At 43.3% G+C, this 25,632-nt stretch overlaps 1 protein-coding gene across 9 annotated transcripts in view, besides 1 other annotated feature; it reads right to left on the bottom strand.

Moving 5' to 3' along the window:
- Positions 1–25,632, bottom strand: part of ATP8A2 (ATPase phospholipid transporting 8A2) — a 653,878-nt gene that overhangs the window by 115,801 nt on the left and 512,445 nt on the right. The window lies entirely within an intron of this gene.
- Positions 6,844–6,963: an enhancer, noted in NCBI's record as "active region_7489". NCBI's record gives its function as "activates an Ori minimal core promoter by ATAC-STARR-seq in GM12878 lymphoblastoid cells {active_cell/tissue: GM12878}" and the evidence as "EXISTENCE:reporter gene assay evidence [ECO:0000049][PMID:35858748]".

The raw sequence follows: 25,632 nt of genomic DNA, 5'->3' as shown, positions 1-25,632 counted from the left end.
CCATCCCGCAGCAGATGACGGGACAGGCAAAATAGGCCAATACAAGACGGAGCATTATTCAGCTTGAAAAAGGAATGGAAATTGCACACCTGCTACAACATAATGAACCTAGAAAACACAGTCAGTGAAATGAGCCAGACACAAAGGAAAATATTGTATGATTGCACCTGTATGGGGTTCCTAGAATAGGTAAATTCACAGAGACAGGAAGTAGAACAGTGGATATAACCGGCTGAGTTGGGGGAGGGCGGCGGGAATTCCTGTGGGGAATTACTGTGTAACGGGATCTGTTTGGGAAGATGAAAAGGTTCTGGAAATGGATGGTGGTGATGGTTGCAAAACATTATGAATGTTCTTAATGCCATTGAATTGTACACTTAAAAATGGTTAAAATGTATTATTTTACCAGCCACATTATTCTGGGAACTCATAATTTAAATGTGCATTAAGGATTTCCTTTTCAAGGAAGTAAATATTGTATTACGTATTTTAGGTTGGTATAAAAGTAATTGCGGTTGACTTTTGCACCAACCTAAAATGCATAATAATACGAAAAATTAATCAACAACTCTACTGTATTTGCAGAGCTTTCACACTCAGCTAAAATATATCAGCTTTTTAAAAAGTTATTTTTAATTGAAACATAATTATACATATTTATGGGGTACGATGTGATGTTTTGGTACATATTTACATTGTGTAGTTATCAAATAAGTCTAATGAGCACATTCATCACTGCAAATATTTTATCATTTATTTGAGGTGGGAACGTACAAAATCCTTTCCTCTAGGTATTTTGAGATATATAATACCTTGTTGACTAGAGTAGCAGGTACTAAGATCATTTTGGGGGACTAGTATGTCACTCTACTTTGCAATAGAACACCAGCATTTACTGTTCCTTTCTAATTGGAATTCTGTACCCATTGACCATTCTCTCCCCACCCTCCTCCTCCTGATATCAGGTTTAAATAAAGATTTAATATGTAGATATTACTGGTAAATAACAATCCTTGAAGTTCAAGGTACATGGTACCAAACCTAAAAATTTAATATTACGATTCAATTTAAATCCACACTTTAAAAATATTCCTTAAGGTTGTTTGCTCCTCTTATCATCCAAATAATATTTTCAGCTTTGTTGGCTTGTTTTGTAAAAGTTAAGCATTGCACACTAAAATTATTCACAATCACTAGATCGACTGTCCCCACCACAGAAGGGCTGGGAAATGAAAATGCTGTGGAAGTCATGGAACCAGGATCATGAGCACAGGGAAGAGCTTCTCCTCTGAAGGCAGTTTCTTTTGAAGAAAGCAGCAGTCAGTTGGTATTTGAAATGTTTTCTCTATTTGGAACTTGTTGCTGAAGAGCAAGTCATGCCAGCTTTGGCTCAGCCCCCTTGAGGCTTGAACCAAGTGAAGCCTGAAGTCACCATTCAGCAACTGTAGCAGCCATGGGGCGTCTGGAATTTGTGGAGTGCACTGAGCCTTAAAACAGAACAGCTGTTGTGGAATGCTGTTACAAGACACCTCGGAAGGACCTGAGGCCTTGTGGACACCCTGGTCTATTCTAAATAGGAAGAACAATCTCGGCTTCATTACTTTCTTGTAAGACAAGACGTTGCAAAGATGAAAGTATCCAAGATCAGTCTAACTGACTAATTAGGAAATTCTCATTTCCTCTGTAATCCCAGCTGGACAAGACAACTTGAAGGGTGAAACTATGTTCAACACACCTAAGTCACTGTTACCACAGACCTAAAGTGCTCGGACTAGAGCTGCACACAATGACTGCTGACTTACGGTAACTACTGACACCACTGCATTAGAAAACTGCCCTACAGACATAGGAGCAAAGAAAGCACGCCTCGGTAGAAAACCATGGGGCGTTACATGACTATCTTTAAATGAGATTTCTAAGGTATTTATCTCAAATGACGAATGTTATATTAATCATTTCAATTTTGATAGTCTGCTAGGGTAGATGCCAGACTGTAGAGTTCATTTGTCATCACCGAACTTTTATCTGAAAAAAATATCTAAAATAAGTCAAAGTCTTAAAATGAACAAGCAATCCAACAGGACAGTTTAACTCTGAAAAGAACCTTCAAGGTCCTATTTCCTATTTCCTCGTAGAGTTGGCTGTATCATTTCATGCTTGGTCCATCACAGAACTCTAAGAAAATCTCTTTTTACTCAAATTCTACTGTTTTTATTTAAGAGTATACGGTGTTTGGCAGCTAAAAGCACAAGGGCCTAGCCTTGGTGTAGACATAGAGTTAGGACAAGAAAAAGCAGGGGTGGAGTGGAGTGGAGGGAGTGTAAAGAAAGCCTGTGATGGCAAAGATGGGAAAAAGAAAATCTTCAACAGGCCTGTTAAGAAGTAAGGCTTTTGAGTGTTTGTTTGTCTTCAGAAAATGTCATCAACGCTGTTTTACAGTTGAAAGGACCCTTAAAGATCAACGTATCCCCATCATAGATATTACGAAATGGTTGTTGAGTGGCTCAGTCAATAAACCTCTTTACTGTATGAATGAAAACAGCAAGGGATAGAGACAGGTCTAAGACCACTGTCATCTAGAAACTCACCAGAGGCCAAGCTCCTATCAATTGTTAGTAAACGATTATCCAACTGAGCATTCAACTTTAACTTAGCTCCTTTTATTTTATTTTATTTTATTTTATTTTTTTATTTATTTTTGAGATGGAGTCTCGCTCTCCTGCCAGGCTGGAGTGCACTGGCGTGATCTCCACATGGAGTCTTGCTTTGTTGCCCAAGCTGGAGTGCAGTGGCGTGATCTCCACATGGAGTCTCGCTCTGTCGCCCAGGCTGGAGTGCAGTGGCGCGATCTCCACACGGGTAGCACAGTGGTTACTCACCGCAGCCTCTGCCTCCCAGGTTCAAGTGATTCTCCTGCCTCAGCCTCCGGAGTAGCTGGGACTACAGGTGTGCACTACCACGCCGGCTAGTTTTTTGCATTTTTGGTAGAGACGGGGTTTCACCATGTTGACCAGGCTGGTCTCAAACTCCTGACCTCAAGTGATCCGCCCGCTTCAGCCTCCCAAAGTGCTGGGATTACAGGCGTGAGCCACCAGGTTAGCTTCTTTTCAAAGCTATCATTTGTTGGAATACAATAAACAGTTTCGTGAGTCTTTTCTATCTGTTTGACTGTTCATTAACAAAACATACTTATTAAGGATCCATGCTCCAAGTACAGAGTTGATCACCAGGGAGAAAGAGACGAAGACATGGCTTACTCAGGGACTCTGCCACTGAGCTTTAGGCTTGCTTAATAAAGTGGTAAGACTTTAAGCAACATTGGAAACCAGGATTTCCCATCTGAAGGCTCTCATTCTGTCATCTCAATAGTTAAGTAGAAGCAGTGACAGAAAACCAAGGGCCTGTGACAGATGTACTCACAGAAGAACAAGAAGAGAAAGAAAGGAGATATACGGCAAGAGGGGGAGAGAGAAGGCGGGGGAGCGTTTCATACAGGAAGAACAAGAGCATTCATCAAAAGGCAGAGAGGAGAGGAGACAGGAGACCCCACCGCTGCTCAGGCCTCGGGGTGCTGGGAATTGCTAAGGTGGGGCATGCTGTGGAAACCCTTGAAGACTGGGTAGAGTTACCTAATCCTGGAAGAGAAATAAGGGCATCACTGCAGATTCTGAGCAGAGTGACACAATGAAAACAGGCTTTCAGAAAGGTCAAGTTTGTAGCTGTAATACAAAAGAAGAGATTGAAGACAGGAAGTAATACAGGATATGAAAGTTTATGCTAGGATTGGGCGGGGGGCGGGGAGGGTAGTGAAAGGATGCAAAGACTGGCTGGCCATGAAGGGCAAATAAAGGGGGAGGAATACAGAGATGATCAGAGACTTGGGGCACTAGAGTCAGAAGATGAATGACAAAAAGATAGAAATCTGGAAGGACTTATTTTAAAAAGGATGAGGAAGACAAAAGATGTGTTTTAGACATGTAAAGTTTAAGGTAAGGCCTCATCATGCAGGCAAATATAGACTGGTGCTAGAAAAAAAACTGCAGAGAGAGTTGGGAGAAGTGTAATATTTCAAGAAAGAGGTTTGCTTGAGGAGTATAGACAAAGAACAAAGAGGAAATAACCAAGACTTGGGAAGGAAAACACAGTGTGTGGAATGTTTCCGTGGCCTCAGGCTTTCTGGCAAGTTCTCTCATTTATGGTTTGATAGCCCTCAGGGCGAGGAAGGGCTGAGATGGGCATGGCCACTCTAGAGGCAGGAAGGGGCCCCAGGAGAGTGGAAAATCACAGGAACCAACGCCCTGTCCTTCTGGGAATCAGAAGGCAAGAGGTCAGCTGGCAGAGGAGAACCAGGGCAGAGACAGGCACCGAGGCTGGAGAGTAGATTGCAACCTGTGGCCTCTGCACTTCCAGAGAAACCCAGATGGCAGCGGCCTGCAGAGGGCATGGAGAGGGGCCGGAGGTGTGAACAGAAACTCAACACGCACCAACCGCTGTTGGCGAAACTGTGGAGGAGGGAGCACAGGGATAGCACGGGATACCAGGCAGGACGGCTACTGCTCTTGTTTTTATTTAATGCTAGGAGAAACCAGAAAACTGAAAGACCAACAGGGAAGTAAGAGAGAGAGAGAGAGAGAGCATATAAAAATAAGTGAAAGAGGCTTAGAGCAGAATCAGTGTCCGTTAAGAAGTGATAGATCAGGATAATAGGAAACTAAATTCGGAGAGGAAGAGAAAAACTTATCGTTTTAGAAATGAGTGTATAAGAGATGTCACTTAGAAAGCATCCCTTAAAAATTTTTTTTTTAAGTAAGTAAAGTACCTAAGGAGGTTATCTGCGGAAAGAGAGAGTAGTAGAGGCTAAAGTTAGGTCTTCAGGAATGAGGAGAAGATGGGTGATGTCTCTGGGTAGAGAGAAGATACAATGTCACGTTAATGGATAATAACATGACAATGGGTGACGTGCTCTCCCTTCAGGACCAAGGGCCCAGGCTGGGCACACACTCTTCTCCTCGGGGCGGTGGCGGGGGTGGGGCGTACACATGCTTACAGCCATGCGCATGCAGGTATCTGACTACTGAATACTCGGAAAAACTTGATAAAGAGATACCTCACATCAATAACATAACTTTTGTTTTGGCACACTAAACAACCATATTTGGCAATTTGGCAGACACTGAGGGTAAAAGAACTATATGTGATTATTCGCTGAATGTTGAGGATAAATCAATGAAATGTTCTTATCCTTCAGGTGCTCAGAGTCTGATGAGAGAATGAGGAACTCCAATGGTGTAGGATATGGATATGACACACAATGTGTTATATAAGCAACCATTAATTACCGGGGGGAGATGTGAGGAAAAAGAGAGAGCATTAGGGAAAACTATAACACTGACATTTGAATCCAAACTTTATCCTTGAGCAACTCACCCATCAGAGAATGGAAAGAAAGTATTTTCAGCAGAGCAACAGCACAGGCAAAGGCAAGGGAGGGCACGAGGCAGCAACACACCCAAGGGAAGACAACAGCGCTTCCGGCAGGCAGGAAGAGGCGCATGGTGAGGGGCAGGACACGAGGCCAAAAGGCCCCTGGGGCAACGGGTGCGGGTTTGTGACTGTCACTTTGAGTCTGGGCATGATTCTATGAGGAAACGGAGAATGTCGAAGGGCATGAAGGTGGGATGATGTCCACGGTTTAGGAAATCTGTCTGGCAGCAATGGCGCTCAGCCTGAGCTGGGCAGTGGATTACCGGGGAACCTTGAAAAAGTATCATCTCTTGGATCAGACTCCCCAAGGTTTCTGATTTGACAGGTCCAAGGTATAGGTTGAGCATCACGAATCCAAAAATGTGAAATCTGAAATGCTTCAAAACCCAGAACTTTTTGAGTGTGCTATGACGCTCAGAGGAAACGCTTGCTAGAGCACTTTGGATCTCAGGTTTTCAGACCAGGGATGATCAACTGGTAAGTCCAATGCAAATATTCAAAAATCTGAAAAAATCAAAATCCGAAACACCAGTGATTCCAAGTATTGTGGATAAGGGATCCTCAATCTGCAGAGTTTGTACAACAGTTTTTTTTTAAATGCTCCCCAGAAGATTCACATTCATTTACTTAAAAACTACTTATTTACTTCCTGTTAGAAGCTGAGAAATCAACTGCAGAACAGACAAAAACTGCAGCCTCATAGAGCTTATACATTGTGTGAATGTGTGTGGGAAAACAAGCCAAAGAAATAAGTAAATCCCACAGTGTGTCCAGAGGTGAAAAGTGACTTGGAAACAGGGTAAGGTGTCGATGTCGGTCCACTGAGGAGGGCAGTGCTGAGGATCTGAGTGACCCCTCGAGAGGGCTGAGGGCAAAGGGAACAGCAAGTTCAGAACCTAAAGACAAAATCTACCCAGGGACGTTGAATAACGAGACCACCGTGGCAGAGAGCAATGAGCAAGGACAGCAGTGGCAGGGATAATCAACAGTGGTCTGGATCATTGCAAGGACTTAGACTTACTCTCTTAATGAGGCCAGAAGCCACGGCAAGTTTCTGAACAGAGGAATGAATGACATGAGTGATTCAGGTTCTGAAAGGATCATTCCAATGAAGAACAGACTTAGAGGGGACAGGATGGAGGATGGGAGACCAGGTGGGGTTAGTGGGAAGTGACATGTGAGATTGAGGTGAAGGGAAAGAAGAGAGCCATGGCAGTCAGACCTAGCAGGGTCTGTGGTGGAGGGGCAGCAGGAAGGAAAGGAAAGATTCAAATGCAACGGCAGGGTTAAAGCAGCCATATCTGGGGGCTGTTTGCGTATGGAGACTGTGGGAGAGAGAAAAGTCAAGAATAAGTCTCTGCGTTCCTAGTATGAGTAACCTGAAACCAAGACAGGAGCTATGGCAGGAGACCGGAATTTTTTTTGTTTTGTTTCGTTTTGTTTTGTTTTTGAGACGGAGTTTCGTTCTTCTTGCCCAGGCTAGAGTGCAACGGCATGGTCTTGGCTCACTGCAACCTCCGCCTCCCAGGTTCAAGTGATTCGAGACAGGAGTTTTTATCTACTTTGTGCCCCAACCCCTGCCATGTGCATTTACGTGTGTGTGTGTGTGTGTGTGTGTGTGTGTGTGCATGCTGAGGATGTATAAAGTCAGTTAATAGTTTGACAGTTGATTTTCAGGGACCGAAAGACCACAGACATTTAGGAGGAAATGTCGTACTGAAAACTGGAAATTCACTCAACCAGCGTGGGCCTGTGGTTCAGGAAGAGGTCTGGGCTGAACACATAGAATTGGGGTCACTATAAGACGGGTTGAAAGCACAGGAACGTGCAGAGGAGAATGAAGACCTGAGTCTTGGGAGATGAACAGTCAAGGGCAAATGTAGGAAGAGGAGCTGTTTTGCAGCATGGTGCAAAATGCCTGCACATGCACACACACGTGCATACACACACGCAGAATGGACAGTCTTGGGGAATTCTTTTTTGTTTTTTTTTTTTTAAATTGATGTTGTTGCTATAATGTGAACAGAAATTTCACATGAATAGATATAACTGTTTCAAACACTTATGGCCCAAAGTGTAAATATCAGATACATAATATTTATACTCTATTCTTTGCCCACCAGATATGGGGTTTCCTATGGATAGAAGCTAGATGTCCTAGTTCAAAAACACCCGTCATTTGGACAAATAACCCAATCTGCTTATATAGAAAAATGTCCAGTGTTTCCCAAGGCTTTGGGAAGGGGTTAAGAAGATATAATTGAAGCTTCACTGTAAGAGTTAAAAAACACACACAGATAGATTATAAGCATATCACTCCGAAGTAGACAATGTCTTCTGACCGGAATTGCATTTGCTTTTTGAAATGCAGAGGTGATGGCGGGGGAATGGTTTCCTGTAGATCTGTTGAGCAATCTTCCATTCCTTTCCTGCTCAGTGAACTTTTTCATTGTCCTTTTTAAACCCCATACCCCTATTCCACTAGATTGCCAAAAAATTTTTTTGTTATCCTTTTCTATAACTATGAGGCTACTTAATGGATCCCGAATATAGCTTAATATAACTAGATTATTGTGTATTATCTTTACTTAAGCATTTTCAGATTTGGTAGGTCAGCTAATATTGATACGCTGTACATATGATATTCGTACTTGAGTCATCTTTATACGCATGTTTAAAAGGGGATGTCCCCTTGGGCATGCAGTGAGGATCTGTTGTCAGAATGAGTAATGATCATTCACAAATAATCACCACATCCTGTTTAGAGATAGTTTCCCAGCCAACAGGCTAGAACAAGCCTACACGGCTTTACTAGCTTAGCAAATACGATCTAGAGTGAACTCTAATCTAACTTTGAAACCTCAGCCATTCATAGTAGTTTCTTTGTTATCAGCGCCAATTTTAAGCATGTCTCAGAAACTGGCCTTTGAAACTACTCTGTTCCTGCTTCTAAGATTTGTGTATAAAAATAATGGAAAAACAAATAGATAATTAAAATTTTTATTTTGCCCTTGCTGGTTGATTTGATTTCTTCTTAAAAATCACAATTTAAATTATGTATATATAATATATAATATATGAATTCATATAAAATTTAATTCCTAGACATGGGTGCACAAAACTTCCCAATTCTAAGTAACATGTGGTTTTTTTTTTTTCTTTCACATAAACATAAATTCTACTGGAGCTCCTAAATTATTTAGGAAAAGTTCTCCAATCCCATAACACTCCCAAGGCCCTTTCGGTTCAGTCCATTTTCCTTTTTTCGCCTCTTCAAACCACCTTTCTGCTTCCCTTATTCTCAATTCCACTTAAAAACCCTTGACCCAGCACTATTCATCGGCCCCTTCCAGTACAATGCAGTTTGCCTGTAGAAGCTTCCAGAACATTTCCTCTCCAATGTCCCGCATTTTAGGCCTCCCTTAGCCCTCATGGGCTTAGCCAGTTGCTTGGCCTCCTCCACCTGTCTCCCTTCAGCTCCCTGCTCCTCCTTCCTTGCTAGAGCAATGCAGTCATCCCCCAGCCCACCTTTCAGCACTAATTACACCGCCCATTGGCTTCTGAGATGAGGCAGCCTTAGACAACGCATGGGCTTTTCTTCCATCTTGATCCAAACTCCATGAAGATGCTCAGGGGTGTTCCTGCTGCTTCCATGTGTCACCTGCATTCGCAGTGGACGTGGCTAGAATGGAGGTGTGGTTTCTCCACAAGCCCCTCTTCTCCCGTGTTTTCCATCTTAGTCAACAGCGCTAATACCTTCCCACCCCTTTGCTTAGGTAAAACTCTAGCAGGTGCCTTGGACACTTCTCTCTCCCAGGTCTTTGAGAAATAAAAATAAAATCTTAAGCCCCCAAGCAACTGAACAGACCCCCTCTTGGCCAAGGAGACCTTGGAGAAACCTTAAAAACGGAGTTTTTGACCACATCAGACATAAGGTTGAACACGCCTCAGTGTGCCCCTTCCTTATTAACCTTTAGCCAAAACTCTTTCTAAGGAGTAAGCAGAAATCAGCTCTGGAAAATGAGAAATGGACAACTCATTCCTTTATCACCTTAGCCAATCATCTGAAACTGCGACCAGATGCCCCTCCCTCTTCACTTCTTCCACGTGACAGCCCACCTGTCTCACAACACATCCCTTCGTAAACACTGACGACCACCTTGGGACACGTTTTGGCTGACTCTCAGAGGATGCAGTGAGGTTCTGGTGTCCTCCACTGCACCTTTTCATGTCAGAGGGCTGAAAACTCCACCTCAGATCATGCTAACACTGCCATTTTTTGAACATGTAATCCATGAAGAGGCATGGAACTCAATTGTGCCTGTACATGTTTCTCCTCTCATAAATATTCATGACTCCTCCTATAGCTCATTAAATATGTATTTCCAGCCACCCAGAAATTTCAGCATAAATTCCTGTCTTATCCTCCCTCCCTCTCAGCTCTGCCTCCCAGCAGGAGGAATGGCCAGCCTGCAGGCTATAACCCTTTATGAGAAATAAAGCTCTTCCAAATGTATGATCCTGGTTATTCTTCAGTTGACAGCTTCTACTCCAGTCCCTGGGCAGGTCCCAGCATCCTCGAACACAGCTGTGTGCCTCATGTCCACCTGACTCCCAACTCCAAGTCCCCATCACCCAGCTGGACTCCCTGCCTCCACTCTTTCCCCTGTACCACCTATTTTTTCCCCATAGAGAGGCAGGGTGAGCTTTGGAAATAGACATCAGAGCATGTCATTTTCCTATTAAAGCTCTCCAAAGACTCTCCATCCCATCTGCAGGAAAATCAAGTTTCTTGCTCTGTCCTTTACAAAGACCTCCGTGGTCTGGCTACCGTGCACCCCTCTGCTCTTCTTCCTGCACCCTCCCCTGCACCAACCCCTTCCTTCCTGCCTGTCTGACTGTGGCCCTGTCCTCAGAACACACCATGCTCTGTGTCCTCCGCTCAGCTTTGCCTCCCCTGGTGCGGACACCACCGGCTCTGCTCCTCACTCAGATCTCAATCTCAGTCGAGATAGTGGCCCTCCTGGGAGGCCTCTATTATCCCTGCCATCTGCAGGAAGTACCCAGTCACTTGCTATTGTAATTCTCTGTATAACCATAGTATATTTTCAGGAGAGTATACCAGACACCCGTATGCATTATCTGGCAAAACTCTAGATAAATCAGGTTCTATATTCTCAATTTGTCAGACATACCCAGGCAGGGGGTTAAATGAGTTGTGGCATGTCACACCACAAGGAGCAGAAAGGACAGCACCTGTAACACAGAATTGCCAGGGCATACTGGCAGGCCATCCCAAGCTGCCCTTGCTCTACAGAGCTCCAGCACTCAGACAGAAACCCATGCATGCATGTTTCCACGCTCGCCAGCAATAAGCTTCTCTGGACTTGGGGTGGAGCCAACATGGCCGAATAGGAACAGCTCCAGTCTACAGTTCCCAGAGTGAGCGACACAGAAGACGGGTGATTTCTGCATTTCCAACTGAGGTACTGGGTTCATCTCACAGGGGAGTGCCGGACAGTGGGTGCAAGACAGTGGGTGCAGGGCACCATGCGTGAGCTGAAGCAGGGCAAGGCATAACCTCACCCGGGAAGCGCAAGGGGTCAAGGAATTCCCTTTCCTAGTCAAAGAAAGGGGTGACAAACAGCACCTGGAAAATCGGGTCACTCCCACCCTAATACTGCGCTTTTCCAACGGGCTTCACAAATGGCACACCAGGAGATTATATCCGGCACCTAGCTCGGAGGGTTCTATGCCCACGGAGCCTCGTTCATTGCTAGTACAGTAGTCTGAGATCAAACTGCAAGGCGGCAGCGAGGCTGGTGGAGGGGCGCCCACCATTGCTCAGGCTTGAGTAGGTAAACAAGGTGGCCAGCTGGGAAGCTGGAACTGGGTGGAGCCCACCACAGCTCAAGGAGGCCTGCCTGCCTCTGTAGGCTCCACCTCTGGGGGCAGGGCACAGACAAACAAAAGACAGCAATAACCTCTGCAGACTTAAATGTCCCTGTCTGACAGCTTTGAAGAGAGGAGTGGTTCTCCGAGCACGCAGCTTGAGATCTGAGAACAGGCAGACCGCCTCCTCAAGTGGGTCCCTGACCCCCGAGTAGCCTAACTTGGAGGCACCCCCCAGTAGGGGCGGACTGACACCTCACACGGCTGGGTACTCCTCTGAGACAAAACTTCCAGAAGAACAATCAGACAGCAGCATTAGCAGTTCACCAGTATCCGCTGTTCTGCAGCCACCGCTGCTGATACGTAGGCAAACAGGGTCTGGAGTGGACCTCCAGTAAATTCCAACAGACCTGCAGCTGAGGGTCCTGACTGTTAGAAGGAAAACTAACAAATAGAAAGGACATCCACACCAAAATCCCATCTGTAGGTCACCATCATCAAAGACCAAAGGTAGATAAAACCAAAAGATGGGGAAAAAACAGAGCAGAAAAACTGGAAACTCTAAAAATCAGAGCACCTCCAAAGGAATGCAGCTCCTCACCAGCAACAGAACAAAACTGGACAGAGAATGACTTTGACGAGTTGAGAGAGGAAGGCTTCAGAAGATCAAACTTCTCCGAGCTAAAGGAGGAAGTTTGAACCAATGGCAAAGAAGTTAAAAACTTTGAAAAAAAATTAGACGAATGGATAACTAAAATAATCAATGCAGAGAAGTCCTTGAAGGAGCTGATGGAGCTGAAAACCACGGCACAAGAACTACGCGATGAATGCACAAGCCTCAGTAACCGATGCAATCAACTGGAGGAAAGGGTATCAGCGATGGAAGATGAAATGAATGAAATGAAGCGTGAAGAGAAGTTTAGAGAAAAAAGAATAAAAAGAAACGAACAAAGCCTCCAAGAAATATGGGACTATGTGAAAAGACCAAATCTATGTCTAATTGGTGGACCTGAAAGTGACGGGGAGAATGGAACTAAGTTGGAAAACACTCTGCAGGATATTATCCAGGAGAACTTCCCCAAATCCAGCAAGGCAGGCCAACATTCAAATTCAGGAAATACAGAGAACGCCACAAAGATACTCCTTGAGAAGAGCAACTTCAAGACACATAATTGTCACATTCACCAAAAGTTGAAATGAAGGAAAAAATGTTAAGGGCAGCCAGAGAGAAAGGTCGGGTTGCCCACAAAGGGAAGCCCATCAGACTAACAGCTGATGTCTCGGCAGAAACTCTACAAGCCAGAAGAGAGTGGGGGCCAATATTCAACATTCTTAAAGAAAAGAATTTTCAACCCAGAATTTCATATCCAGCCAAACTAAGCTTCGTAAGTGAAGGAGAAATAAAATACTTTACAGACAAGCAAATGCTGAGAGATTTTGTCACACCAGGCCTGCCCTAAAAGAGCTCCTGAAGGAAGCACTAAACATAGAAAGGAACAACCAGTACCAGCCACTGCAAAAACATGCCAAACTGTAAAGACCATCAAGGCTAGGAAGAAACTGCATCAACTAACGAGCAAAATAACCAGCTAACATCATAATGACAGGATCAAATTCACACATAACAATACTAACCTTAAACGTAAATGGGCTAAATGCTCCAATTAAAAGGCACAGACTGGCAAATTGGATAAAGAGTCAAGACCCATCAGTGTGCTGTATTCAGGAAACCCATCTCACGTGCAGAGACACACATAGGCTCAAAATAAAGGGATGGAGAAAGATCTACCAAGCAAATGGAAAACAAAAAAAGGCAGGGGTTGCAATCCTAGTCTCTGATAAAACAGACTTTAAACCAACAAAGATCAAAAGAGACAAAGAAGGCCATTACATAATGGTAAAGGGATCAATTCAACAAGAAGAACTAACTATCCTAAATATATATGCACCCAATACAGGAGCACCCAGATTCATAAAGCAAGTCCTTAGAGAACTACAAAGAGACTTAGACTCCCACACAATAATAATGGGAGACTTTAACACCCCACTGTCAACATTAGACAGATCAACGAGACAGAAGGTTAACAAGCATATCCAGGAATTGAACTCAGCTCTGCACCAAGCAGACCTAATAGACATCTACAGAACTCTCCACCCCAAATCAACAGAATATACGTTATTCTCAGCACCACATTACACTTATTCCAAAATTGACCACATAGTTGGAAGTAAAGCACTCCTCAGCAAATGTAAAAGAACAGAAATTATAACAAACTGTCTCTCACACCACAGTGCAATCAAACTGGAACTCAGGATTAAGAAACTCACTGAAAACCGCTCAACTACATGGAAACTGAACAACCTGCTCCTGAATGACTACTGGGTACATAACGAAATGAAGGCAGAAATAAAGATGTTCTTTGAAACCAATGAGAACAAAGACAGAGCATACCAGAATCTCTGGGACACATTCAAAGTAGTGTGTAGAGGGAAATTTATAGCACTAAATGCCCACAAGAGAAAGCAGGAAAGATCTAAAATTGACACCCTAACATTACAATTAAAAGAACTAGAGAAGCAAGGAAAACACATTCAAAAGCTAGCATAAGGCAAGAAATAACTAAGATCAGAGCAGAACTGAAGGAAATAGAGACACAAAAAACCCTTCAAAAAATCAATGAATCCAGGAGCTGGTTTTTTGAAAAGATCAACAAAATTGATAGACCGCTAGCAAGACTAATAAAGAAGAAGAGAGAGAAGAATCAAATGGATGCAATAAAAAATGACAAAGGGGATATCACCACCGATCTCACAGAAATACAAACTACCATCAGAGAATACTATAAACACCTCTATGCAAATAAACTAGAAAATCTAGAAGAAATGGATAAATTCCTCGATACATACCCTCTCCCAAGACTAAACCAGGAATAAGTTGAATCTCTGAATAGACCAATAACAGGCTCTGAAATTGAGGCAATAATTAATAGCTTACCAACCAAAAAAAGTCCAGGACCAGATGGATTCACAGCCGAATTCTACCAGAGGTACAAGGAGGAGCTGGTACCATTCCTTCTGAAACTATTCCAATCAATAGAAAAAGAGGGAATCCTCCCTAACTCATTTTATGAGGCCAGCATCATCCTGATACCAAAGCCGGGCAGAGACACAACAAAAAAAGAGAATTTTAGACCAATATCCTTGATGAACATTGATGCAAAAATCCTCAATAAAATACTGGCAAACCGAATCCAGCAACACATCAAAAAGCTTATCCACCATGATCAAGTGGGCTTCATTCCTGGGATGCAAGGCTGGTTCAACATACGAAAATCAATAACATAATCCAGCATATAAACAGAACCAAAGACAAAAACCACATGATTATCTCAATAGATGCAGAAAAGGCCTTTGACAAAATTCAACAACCTTCATGCTAAAAACTCTCAATAAATTAGGTATTGATGGGACATATCTCAAAATAATAAGAGCTATCTATGACAAACCCACAGCCAATATCATACTGAATGGACAAAAACTGGAAGCATTCTTTTTGAAAAATGGCACAAGACAGGGATGCCCTCTCTCACCACTCCTATTCAACATAGTGTTGGAAGTTCTGGCCAGGGCAATCAGGCAGGAGAAGGGAATAAAGGGCATTCAATTAGGAAAAGAGGAAGTCAAATTCTCCCTGTTTGCAGATGACATGATTGTATATCTAGAAAACCCCATTGTCTCAGCCCAAAATCTCCTTAAGCTGATAAGCAACTTCAGCAAAGTCTCAGGATACAAAATCAATGTGCAAAAATCACAAGCATTCTTATACACCAATAACAGACAAACAGAGAGCCAAATCATGAGTGAACTCCCATTCACAATTGCTTCGAAGAGAATAAAATACCTAGGAATCCAACTTACAAGGGATGTGAAGGACCTCTTCAAGGAGAACTACAAACCACTGCTCAAGGAAATAAAAGAGGATACAAAGAAATGGAGAACATTCCATGCTCATGGGTAGGAAGAATCAATATCATGAAAATGGCCGCACTGCCCAAGGTAATTTATAGATTCAATGCCATCCCCATCAAGCTACCAATGACTTTCTTCACAGAATTGGAAAAAACTACTTTAAAGTTCATATGGAACCAAAAAAGAGCCCATATTGCCAAGTCAATCCTAAGCCAAAAGAACAAAGCTGGAGGCATCATGCTACCTGACTTCAAACTATACTACAAGGCTACAGTAACCAAAACAGCAATGGTACTGGTACCAAAACAGAAATATAGATCAATGGAACAGAACAGAGCCCTCAGAAATAATGCTGCATATCTACAACTATCTGATCTTTGATAAACCTGACAAAAAGAAGAAATGGGGAAAGGATTCCCTATTTAATAAATGGTGCTGGGAAAACTGGCTAGCCATATGTAGAAAGCTGAAACTGGATCCCTTCCTTACACCTTATACAAAAATTAATTCAAGATGGATTAAAGACTTACATGTTAGACCTAAAACCATAAAAACCCTAGAAGAAAACCTAGGCAATACCATTCGGGACATAGGCATGGGCAAGGACTTCATGTCTAAAACACCAAAAGCAATGGTAACAAAAGCCAAAGTTGACAAATGGGATCTAATTAAACTAAAGAGCTTCTGCACAGCAAAAGAAACCACCATCAGAGTGAACAGGCATCCTACAGAATGGGAGAAACTTTTTGCAACATACTCATCCAGAATCTACAATGAACTCAAACAAATTTACAAGAAAAGAACAAACAACCCCATCAAAAAGTGGGCAAAGGATATGAACAGACACTTCTCAAAAGAAGACATTTATGCAGCCAAAAAACACATGAAAAAATGCTCATCATCACTGGCCATCAGAGAAATGCAAATCAAAACCACAATGAGATACCATCTCACACCAGTTAGAATGGTGATCATTCAAAAGTCAGGAAACAACAGGTGCTGGAGAGGATGTGGAGAAATAGGAACACTTTTACACTGTTGGCGGGACTGTAAACTAGTTCAACCATTGTGGAAGTTGGTGTGGCGATTCCTCAGGGATCTAGAACTAGAAATACCATTTGACCCAGCCATCCCATTACTGGGTATATACCCAAAGGATTATAAATCATGCTGCTATAAAGACACATGCACACGTATGTTTATTGTGGCACTATTCACAATAGCAAAGACTTGGAACCAACCCAAATGTCCCACAATGATAGACTGGATTAAGAAAATGTGGCACATATACACCATGGAATACTATGCAGCCATAAAAAATGATGAGTTCATGTCCTTTGTAGGGACATGGATGAAGCTGGAAACCATCATTCTCAGCAAACTACCACAAGGACAAAAAACCAAACACCGCATGTTCTCACTCATAGGTGGGAATTGAACAATGAGAACACATGGACACAGGAAGGGGAACATCACACTCCGGGGACTGTTGTGGGGTGGGGGGAGGGGGGAGGGATAGCATTAGGAGATATACCTAATGCTAAATGACGAGTTAATGGGTGCAGCACACCAATATGGCACATGTATACATATGTAACAAACCTGCACGTTGTGCACATGTACCCTAAAACTTAAAAGTATAATAATAATAAAAAAAAGAAAATTTTCTAAAAGAAAAAAAAATCTTCTCTGGACTTACGCTACAACAACATTTGATTGATATGTCCTATGTTTGATAGAAACAGTCCCAAACCTGAGCCTATCTAATACTAATATTACCAACCACTTAACACTTTGTGCTAACTTTTAATGTTTTCAGCCCTGGGTATTCTTTGAAGAATATTTTCTATCAGGAGTCATCAAATATTTGGTCCTCATTTTGATGCGAAAAAAAAAAAACAGACTAAAAAAAAGTCTGTGCTTCACACAAAGTTGAGACCCAAACTGTGGCCCCATACAGTCACAGACGTCATCAAATAGGCTATGGCAGAGGAGGGGGATGGAGGGAGCATCTCCCAGGCACAAAGGAGAGCATCGCACTGTATGCTGTGTCCCAGTACACCTGCATGACACAGGTGGAAGAAAGGGGAAGGAGAGGAGGAGGGAGAGAGAGAGAGAGAGAGAGGTGTTTCCATTTGTTGTTTCCATTGCCTTTTGACTTATTTTTCATTCCCAGTACATCTGCATAACACAGGTGGAAGGAGAGAGAGAGAGAGAGAGAGAGAGACAGAGAGACAGAGAGAGAGAGAAATGTTTCCATTTGTTGTTTCCATTGCCTTTTAACTTATTTTTCACAGGCATCAAGTAAATTCCACCCATAAAGCCAAATTGAATGTCTCATAACTAAAGAGATGCCACCCTGTGCCAAGATAGGCTGTGCACAGTAAGAACCCAAGCTGACACTACCTACTAATAAAAATGAGAAAAAGGTGCCAGGCGCAGTGGCTCACACCTGTAATCCCAGCACTTTGGAGGCTGAGGCGGGTGGATCATGAGGTCAGGAGATCAAGACCATCCTGGCTAACACAGTGAAACCTCACCTCTACTAAAAAAGTACAAAAGATTAGCCAGGTGTGGTGGCGGGCGCCTGTAGTCCCAGTTACTCGGGAGGCTGAGGCAGGAGAATGGGAGGTGGAGCTTGCAGTGAGCCAAGATCGCGCCCCTGCACTCCAGCCTGGGCAACAGAGCCAGACTCCATCTCCAAAAAAAAAAAAAGAAAAAGGCTTTGAAGGTCATACATCTCCATCTTTTTAAAAGATTATGAAGCCTCAAAATCAAGCAAACCACACACACGCACACACTACCAACCCAGTACAATCATTCTGTTAAATATTTTACCTTGCAATATTTTTTTAAATTGTGTCAGACAAAAGAAAATCTTGTTTGGCCTGCTTTTTGTCCTTTACCCAAAGTGGGACAGTTTGGACATCCCTGGTGAAACACTCATACACTTAAATGCAGAGGCAGGAATTATAGCGCATCCCCTCCAACATCAGTCAGAACCCACCTCACAGAGCCCCCTAATGAATAGATAAATTATCAGTTAATAGGGATGAAGGCAGGGATCAAATGGCTCAGATCTGGCCGGGCACAGTGGCTCGCACCTGTAATCGCAGCACTTTGGGAGGCCAAGGTAGGCAGATCACCTGAGGTCAGGGAGTTCGAGACCAGCCTGGCCAACCTGGTGAAACCCCGTCTCTACCAAAAATACAAAAATCAGGCGGGCATGATGGTGGGTGCCTGTAATCCCAGCTGTTTGGGAGGCTGAGGTGGGAGAATTGCTTGAACCTGGGAGGGGGAGGTTGCAGTGAGCCGAGATCGCACCATTGCACTCCAGCCTGGGCGACAGAGCGAGACTGTGTCTCAAACAAAACAAAACAAAACAAAAGGCTCAGGTCTAACAAGCAACCTGATTTCTATCCCATTCTGAATATGACACACTTTCAACACGATCGTTTTCGAGTGGCGTAACTTTGCCCTAAAGAAACATCAAATACACATTGAAGAAAACCCACAGATAACTCCAAAACTGAGTGAGAGCAACACACAGCATCTATTAAAACAAAAGTAAATCTTAGGGGACAATGTAGCTTGCATTTTCAACTTTACTTTGGCTTCACTCAGTCAACTCAGGAAGAGATGCTCGACTCTTCTAAGGTGATGTGAGGTTCATTTCCTCACCCACAGCTTGACAGAGCACTCGTGGTCCACTGCACAACATGAGTACCCTTTTATCATCACAGACCCTCAATTTCAGAGCACTGCTGAGTTGTAAAAACGTGTTCTGGGTTGTAACTTGGCAAACATGACTTAACCTGAGAGTAATGCTTTAAAACAAATTTCATAACATCTGCTGTGTCATTTTTAAGCAATACCTTCTGTTTCCAAAGAACTTAAACACAGCTTTGTTTTTAAAAGCTAAATTTCATAGGTCTTTCTTTAGCTCTATGGGATATTCATTTCTAGCAATAAAAGGCTCCCACTAAAGAAAAAAGAATTCCCAAATATTTTCGTATTTCTACTACACAGACTTATGCTCAAAATCAGTCTGTCCCAGAAAAATGAAGAAAACAATTATTGTGTAAAATGTCATCTAAAACCCCAGTATGCACTTCTGTCTGATAGAGACTTTAGTTACAAATGGACTAATTGTGAGGCTGGTCTGCTGGTCATGAAGACAGAAGTACAAATACGTATCAGGGAAGGAAATATCTACGTTCATGCTTCCAGTACATCTTCTAGTACAATATATTTCATTAGAACACAATTCTAAAATTGATATAGAAATTAAGAACTTTTAACTGATGTACATTTTTCTTCTATCTAATATTTGTGTACCAGGCGTTCTGTTAGGTATTTAAAGAGATACAAAAGATGAAAAAGATCTGTCTCCACTTTCAAAGGAAACTGAGTTGTTAGCAACTATAAAGTGTTGTGCTAAAGATATATATTTGGAAGCTGCTAGTTTTCAGCTGGAATTGAAACCTTGGTATATATAATGTAACCCAGAGAGACGGTAAAATTTTTTTTCTTTTCTTTTTTTTGAGACAGAGTCTCGCGCCGTCACCCAGGCTGGAGGGCAGTGGAGCGATCTCGGCTCACTGCAACCTCCACCTCCCAGGTTCAAGTGATTCTCCTACCTCAGCCTCCTGAGCAGCTGGGATTACAGGCACGTGCCACCACGCCTGGCTAATTTTTTGTATTTTTATTAGAGACAGGGTTTCACCATGTCAGCCAGGATGGTCTCGATCTCCTAACCTCGTGATCTGCCTGCGTTGGCCTTCCAAAGTGCTGGGATTACAGGCGTGAACCACCGCGCCCGGCCAAATTTGTTTTTAAAGTTTAAAAAGTGTTAAAAAATTTAAAAAAGTATCTGAGGAAAAAAAACCTTCAGACCAATTACATTTAAGGAATGGGCCATGGAGGAGAATGAAGCAATGAAATAGTGGCAAAGTCACAGTCAAGGGAGCTAGGAAGGAATTATGCTTCAGAAGCAAAAAACAGCAAGAATTTCTAGAAGGAACAAATAGGCAGGAGGTAAGTGCTGCTGGAGACTGACCACCGTGAAGGTCAAGGAGTGGTCATGCACTGGGGAAGGAGGATGCAGCCATGATACTGACATCTAACAGGAAAAGAGCTAAGGTGCCTGAAAACCTATACCAAGCCTCAGATAATCATGCTTCTTAAGGAGAGCATTAATCCACCAATGGGCCTCAAGCAAGTGTGAATAGGGTTATGACCAAACCACATCTCTGAGTTTTTCTTAAGAACAGTGAAATTATTTCTTCAAGAGTTCTATAGCTCAGAAATAGATAAAAAAGAAGGTGATTTAAACAAAAAGTATTAATACAAACCTTCACCTAGGGGATTTTCAATCCTTTCAATACAAGGATTTTTGACCATATATTATTTTTTAAAATCATTTAAATTTTATATATATATATATATATATATATATATGACAAAGGATGAGCAAACAAATTTAATAGCAATTAACAGGAAATTGGTTCCTATTAGGAAATGGGGAAAATGATCAGGCCTGAAGCAACAACAGCAAAAATAGTAAAACAAATAAATTACTGTCTGAAGATGGTATACGAAATAACATTGAAATCTTTTGTGGAGAATGTATAAAGGAAGTTTCTCTTATGTGGTAGAACTCACATTGTTTGCTTCTTGGCATAGTCGTTGACAGATTGTAGGAAAAAATTGCCATATTTAGGTGACGAAGAGAAGAGAACTTCAGAAATAGTATTTTCACATACATAAAAGAAAAAAAACTAGTGATTTCAATAAAATTTCCTTCTATACAAATGACCCCATGAACTCTACAGTTTTATTTCTTGAGACAAGAGTTTCCGTCTTGTCGCCCAGGCTGGAGCGCAATGGTGCGATCTTGACTCATCGCAACCTCCGCCTCCCAGGTTCAAATGATTCTGCTGCCTCAGCCTCCCAAGTAGCTGGAATTACAGACATGCGCCACCATGCTTGGCTAATTTTGAATTTTTAGTAGAGATGGGGTTTCTCCATGTTGGTCAGGCTGGTCTCTAACTCCTGACCTCAGGTGATAGCCCACCTTGGCCTCCCAAAATGCTGGGATTACAGGTGTGAGCCACCACACCCGGCTGAACTCTACAAACTTCTATATACTAACTGGGTTGAACCCAGCGGTAAAACATTTGAGCACATTGTATATTCCAAGCCACATCACTCACTTCATTAGTTACTGCATACTGCCCATATTTGGTTGCTTCCTTTTTTGCTTTTAGCTTTTTCTGAACTTGACGCAGAAGAAAAAGGAAAGTCCCCTTATCAGCCAATTCCGGAAGTTTTATACAAAATATTTATAGGCATCTTTTAGATAAAGTTGTTTAAGGAGGACAAGTGCAGTGCTACTAAATTCACATCAGGTTATTGTTTGGGTCCTAACCTAAAATTTCAGACAGAGAATTTCACAACAGCCCAAAGCTATTTCACTTTTATAAAGTGAAAACAAGATTGAATTATCCAAGCATCCTTACAGAGCGATCATGAACCTCTGTCTAGCTGGCCTGTGCTGTGCTACCCTTGTTAAGCAGAAGGCTGTTTATTCGTCCTGCAAATGCCAGTGTTCTCTGGGGGTGGGGCGGGGGGGGGGTCTGGGTTCTTTCCTTTCTGCCTCCTTGCCTACTCTCCATGGGCAGTGCCATCAACTTCCACGACCTCAAAAGTCACTCAAATGGTGGTGATATCCATGTTAGTGTGTTGAAATGAATTTCTAGATTATTCATTGGATAAGCAGCCCACAGAAGCATTTATTCAAAAGTATTCCATTGAGATTCAAAAACATATTGATATGATCATTGGTCTGTTAAAAGAATCAAACTAAAAAAAAACACAAACAAACTGGGAATCCTCAATAGACAAATCAAAACTTAATAAGAAGTGATTAAAAGCTAAATGGCTCACAGGGTGGATGTAAAGAAAGCACCTGGCTCAGGGCCTGCATGTAGAAGACACATAGTATTAACATTTGTTGTCTTCCTTTCCTCTCTTGTCTGAATTTATTAATAATAAAAGTTGGACTGAGGGGCCTGGCGCTGTGGCTCACGCCTGTAATCCCAACACTTTGGGAGGCCGAGGCGGGAAGATCACGAAGTCAGGAGCTCAAGACCAGCCTGGCCAAGATGGTGAAACCCGTCTCTACTAAAAACACAAAAATTAGCCGGGCATGGTGGCCGACGCCTGTAATCCCAGCTACTTGAGAGGCTGAGGCAAGAGAATCGCTTGAACCCAGGAGGCAGAGGTTTCAGTGAGCCAAGATCGCGCCACTGCACTTCAGTCTGGGCAACAACAGCAAAACTCTGTCTTAAAAAAAAAAAGAGTTGGACTGAGGAAGGAAGTTTTTCCTTATGATCTGATGTCATACCTTTAGTGTAAACTTTTTATAGAAGTAGAATATTCATACATAAAGTGCACAGATCACATGTGTGCATCTCAAGTGACTTTCCATTTTCACAAAATGAATACCCATGGACAGAACTTAGATTTGAAAAAACCCCAGACACTTAGCAGAAGCCTCCTCACACCTCTTCCATTTCTTACTCATCCTCTGTTCCACCCAGGCATACCCACGCTCCTGACCTCCAACACCATAAATTAGTTTTGCAAGCTCTGGAACTTTACACAAATGAGTCACACAGCATGGATGTTTATAGAGCCTACTTAGACATTATGCATTGTTGGCTGGTATATGGAAAAGTGTTCTGGGTCAGCTAGCAGACCAGCTGTTGTCAATGTGCCTGAGCTGATTACCCCTTTCTTCATAAATTTGACCCTACAATGAGCAACCAGCAATACCATGTAAATAAAGCCTATGTAGTACTAAGGGCTTGCAGAGTGGAAGCCACCTCATGTTTTTCTCACCATTTCCCACTCTCCTGGCAGTAATCTCTGGCGCTCCCTCTGGAGAAGGCCCTGAGTCTCAGCTGTTTTCCTATACGCTATGGAACAGCTATCAGATGGCACGAAGAGGCTCTGGGCTGCCACTTGGAAGAGATTTCCATGGAGTGGGCCTGGGAGATGCTCTGCCCCACGAAGCCGCGCTCTCAGAGGCTTCCCCTCGTGCTGTCGGCATCCAGCGCACATGGAGCGGGTGAAACCACGTGAGCGAGATTATAGCTGCCTTCCAGCCCCTAGCCTGGAATTAGTGACCTGTTTACAAGATGCATACCACACTTGCAGATGCGACAAAAATAGGGAGGGCAGCATTTGCCAGGCATTGTCCATAAAGCAGAGGCACACCTCCCTTCTAATTACAAAACACAAAACTCACACAGTCAAACCCAGCCAGGGCAAGTGCCACCGTTTCCACACTGAGACTCTTTCAGAACAAGAGTTAAGTTAGCTTTATGACCTCATCCCAGCAACAAATACGCTATTCCACCATCACCACCCCGACATTCCAACTTTTCTTTTGGGAGGGACAGGTGTCCTATTAAGTAATTTGGAAAGCTTAATGTCAGTATTCATTAGTTACAGATACATAAATATATATACTTTATCCAAGACGTGATATAACATTGCTTGTCAATTTCAGAACTAACTACTGTAATATTCTTGGAGGAAAAGCTTCTTTCAAACAAAATGCAGCTTGAATACAGTGGAGCATCAGCAGAAGTACAACATCTGCCTCTTGAAGAGCACTCTCAGTTATTTTCCCACATTCTCTTCAGTGAGGGTGTATTCTCACCCCCACCGAAATTCTCTCTAGAATTTCAAACCTGCAATTCCCTTTGCTTTTCTTTGAAAAATCCCTTCCTTCACTAGGGATCCTGGTTATTAACGGTTAATAGTGGATTACCCAGGGCAAGAGAGAATCGTGTGAGTCTAGATAAATAAACACATTATTAAGGAGTAATGCATGAAAACAAGCCATGTGGCTGTGTCAAAGAGGAGAAATGCCCTGGCTCCACAAATACCCTGCTCTGATTGAATTCCCCTCATATCAGTTTCTGATTGTTTAATTCTAAGAGAAACAAGACCATAGAATAAATAGGAAGAAAATAGCATAATGAAAAACAGCAGGACACTGCAATTTCTCTGGTTCGGGACTGATGTGCTGAGACTGCTGCAGTCGCCAACCCCGGGGGCTCTGCAGATGAGCTGGGCAGGACAGGCACTATTACCCCAGCAGGCTCCAGCCCTCCTCCCCAGCCTTTACGATGGCCTCTGTGAGAAGCATGCCAGCCACCCCAAAAGAAGGAGAGAGGGCCAGGGTCAGGAAAAGAGACATTAGAGAAAAGAAGCAAGCGGGCTTGGTGCGGTGGCTCATGCCTGTAATCCCAGCACTTTGGGAGGCCGAGGCAGATGGATCACCTGAGGTCAGGAGTTCGAGACCAGCCTGGCCAACATGGTGAAACGCCATCTCTACTAATGATACAAAAATTAGCCAGGCATGCTGGTGGGCACCTGTAGTCCCAGCTACTTGGGGTACTGAGGCAAGAGAATTGCTTGAACCCAGGAGGCGGAGGTTGCAGTGAGCTAAGATCGCACCACTGCACTCCAGCCTGGGTGACAAGAGCAAGACTCCACCTCAAAAAAAAAAAAAAAAAAAAAAAAGCAAGCGGAGAAAGGAGACTGACTCTCAGGCTGGAGAGAGGAAGCGAGCCCTGGGCAGACCAGGACATGGAGGCCAGCTCAGGATAGTGGGCCCTGCCACAAAGTAACAGGAAGGCCATGCAGGCAAGGGCACAGCATCAAGCCCCTTACATCTCTGTAGAGAGTTCCTGTGTTCCCTGCAGAGTCAACAGTCGGCAGAGGCCAGGAGAGGGGACAAGAGTGGACTCGTCAGAGGTGATGCAGAAGGGCCCCAGGGATCTGGGATGGCTCGTGGGAGGAGGGCAAGTGCCTGAGTGGGGCAGGAGAAGCCGCAGGGGCAATGAAATCAAACTCTGTTCACCCAGGTGCTCTCATGTTTGGGCCCCATTCTCACGAATTTTACTTTTCAAAGCATGCTTAGGAGAGTCTCAGGCCAAGGTTAGAGTAACAGTTGAAGAGCTCAGAGCAGCGGGGACTGCCTGCATCTGACAGAGGATCAGGAGGGAGAAAGCTCATCACTGTCCCAGACCAGGCGATCACAACATCCTCTATCTTCCCAAGGAAGCTGCTGGGAAGTGCCAGCCAAAGCACTTCTGATTTTGGAGTGATCTCTTGCCTCCTTCTGCAGCCTGCCTTCTAAGAGCCTGCTAATGAGCAAAGGAAGCTAGAAGGCACCCGCGAGAAGTGGGAGCAGAAGCGGGGGATCTG

This window comes from Homo sapiens, chromosome 13, assembly GCF_000001405.40.
Source record: "Homo sapiens chromosome 13, GRCh38.p14 Primary Assembly".
NCBI classification, from domain to species: domain Eukaryota; kingdom Metazoa; phylum Chordata; class Mammalia; order Primates; family Hominidae; genus Homo; species Homo sapiens.
Note: the sequence above shows the minus strand (reverse complement) of the source record. Positions and strands in the feature narration are given on the sequence as shown.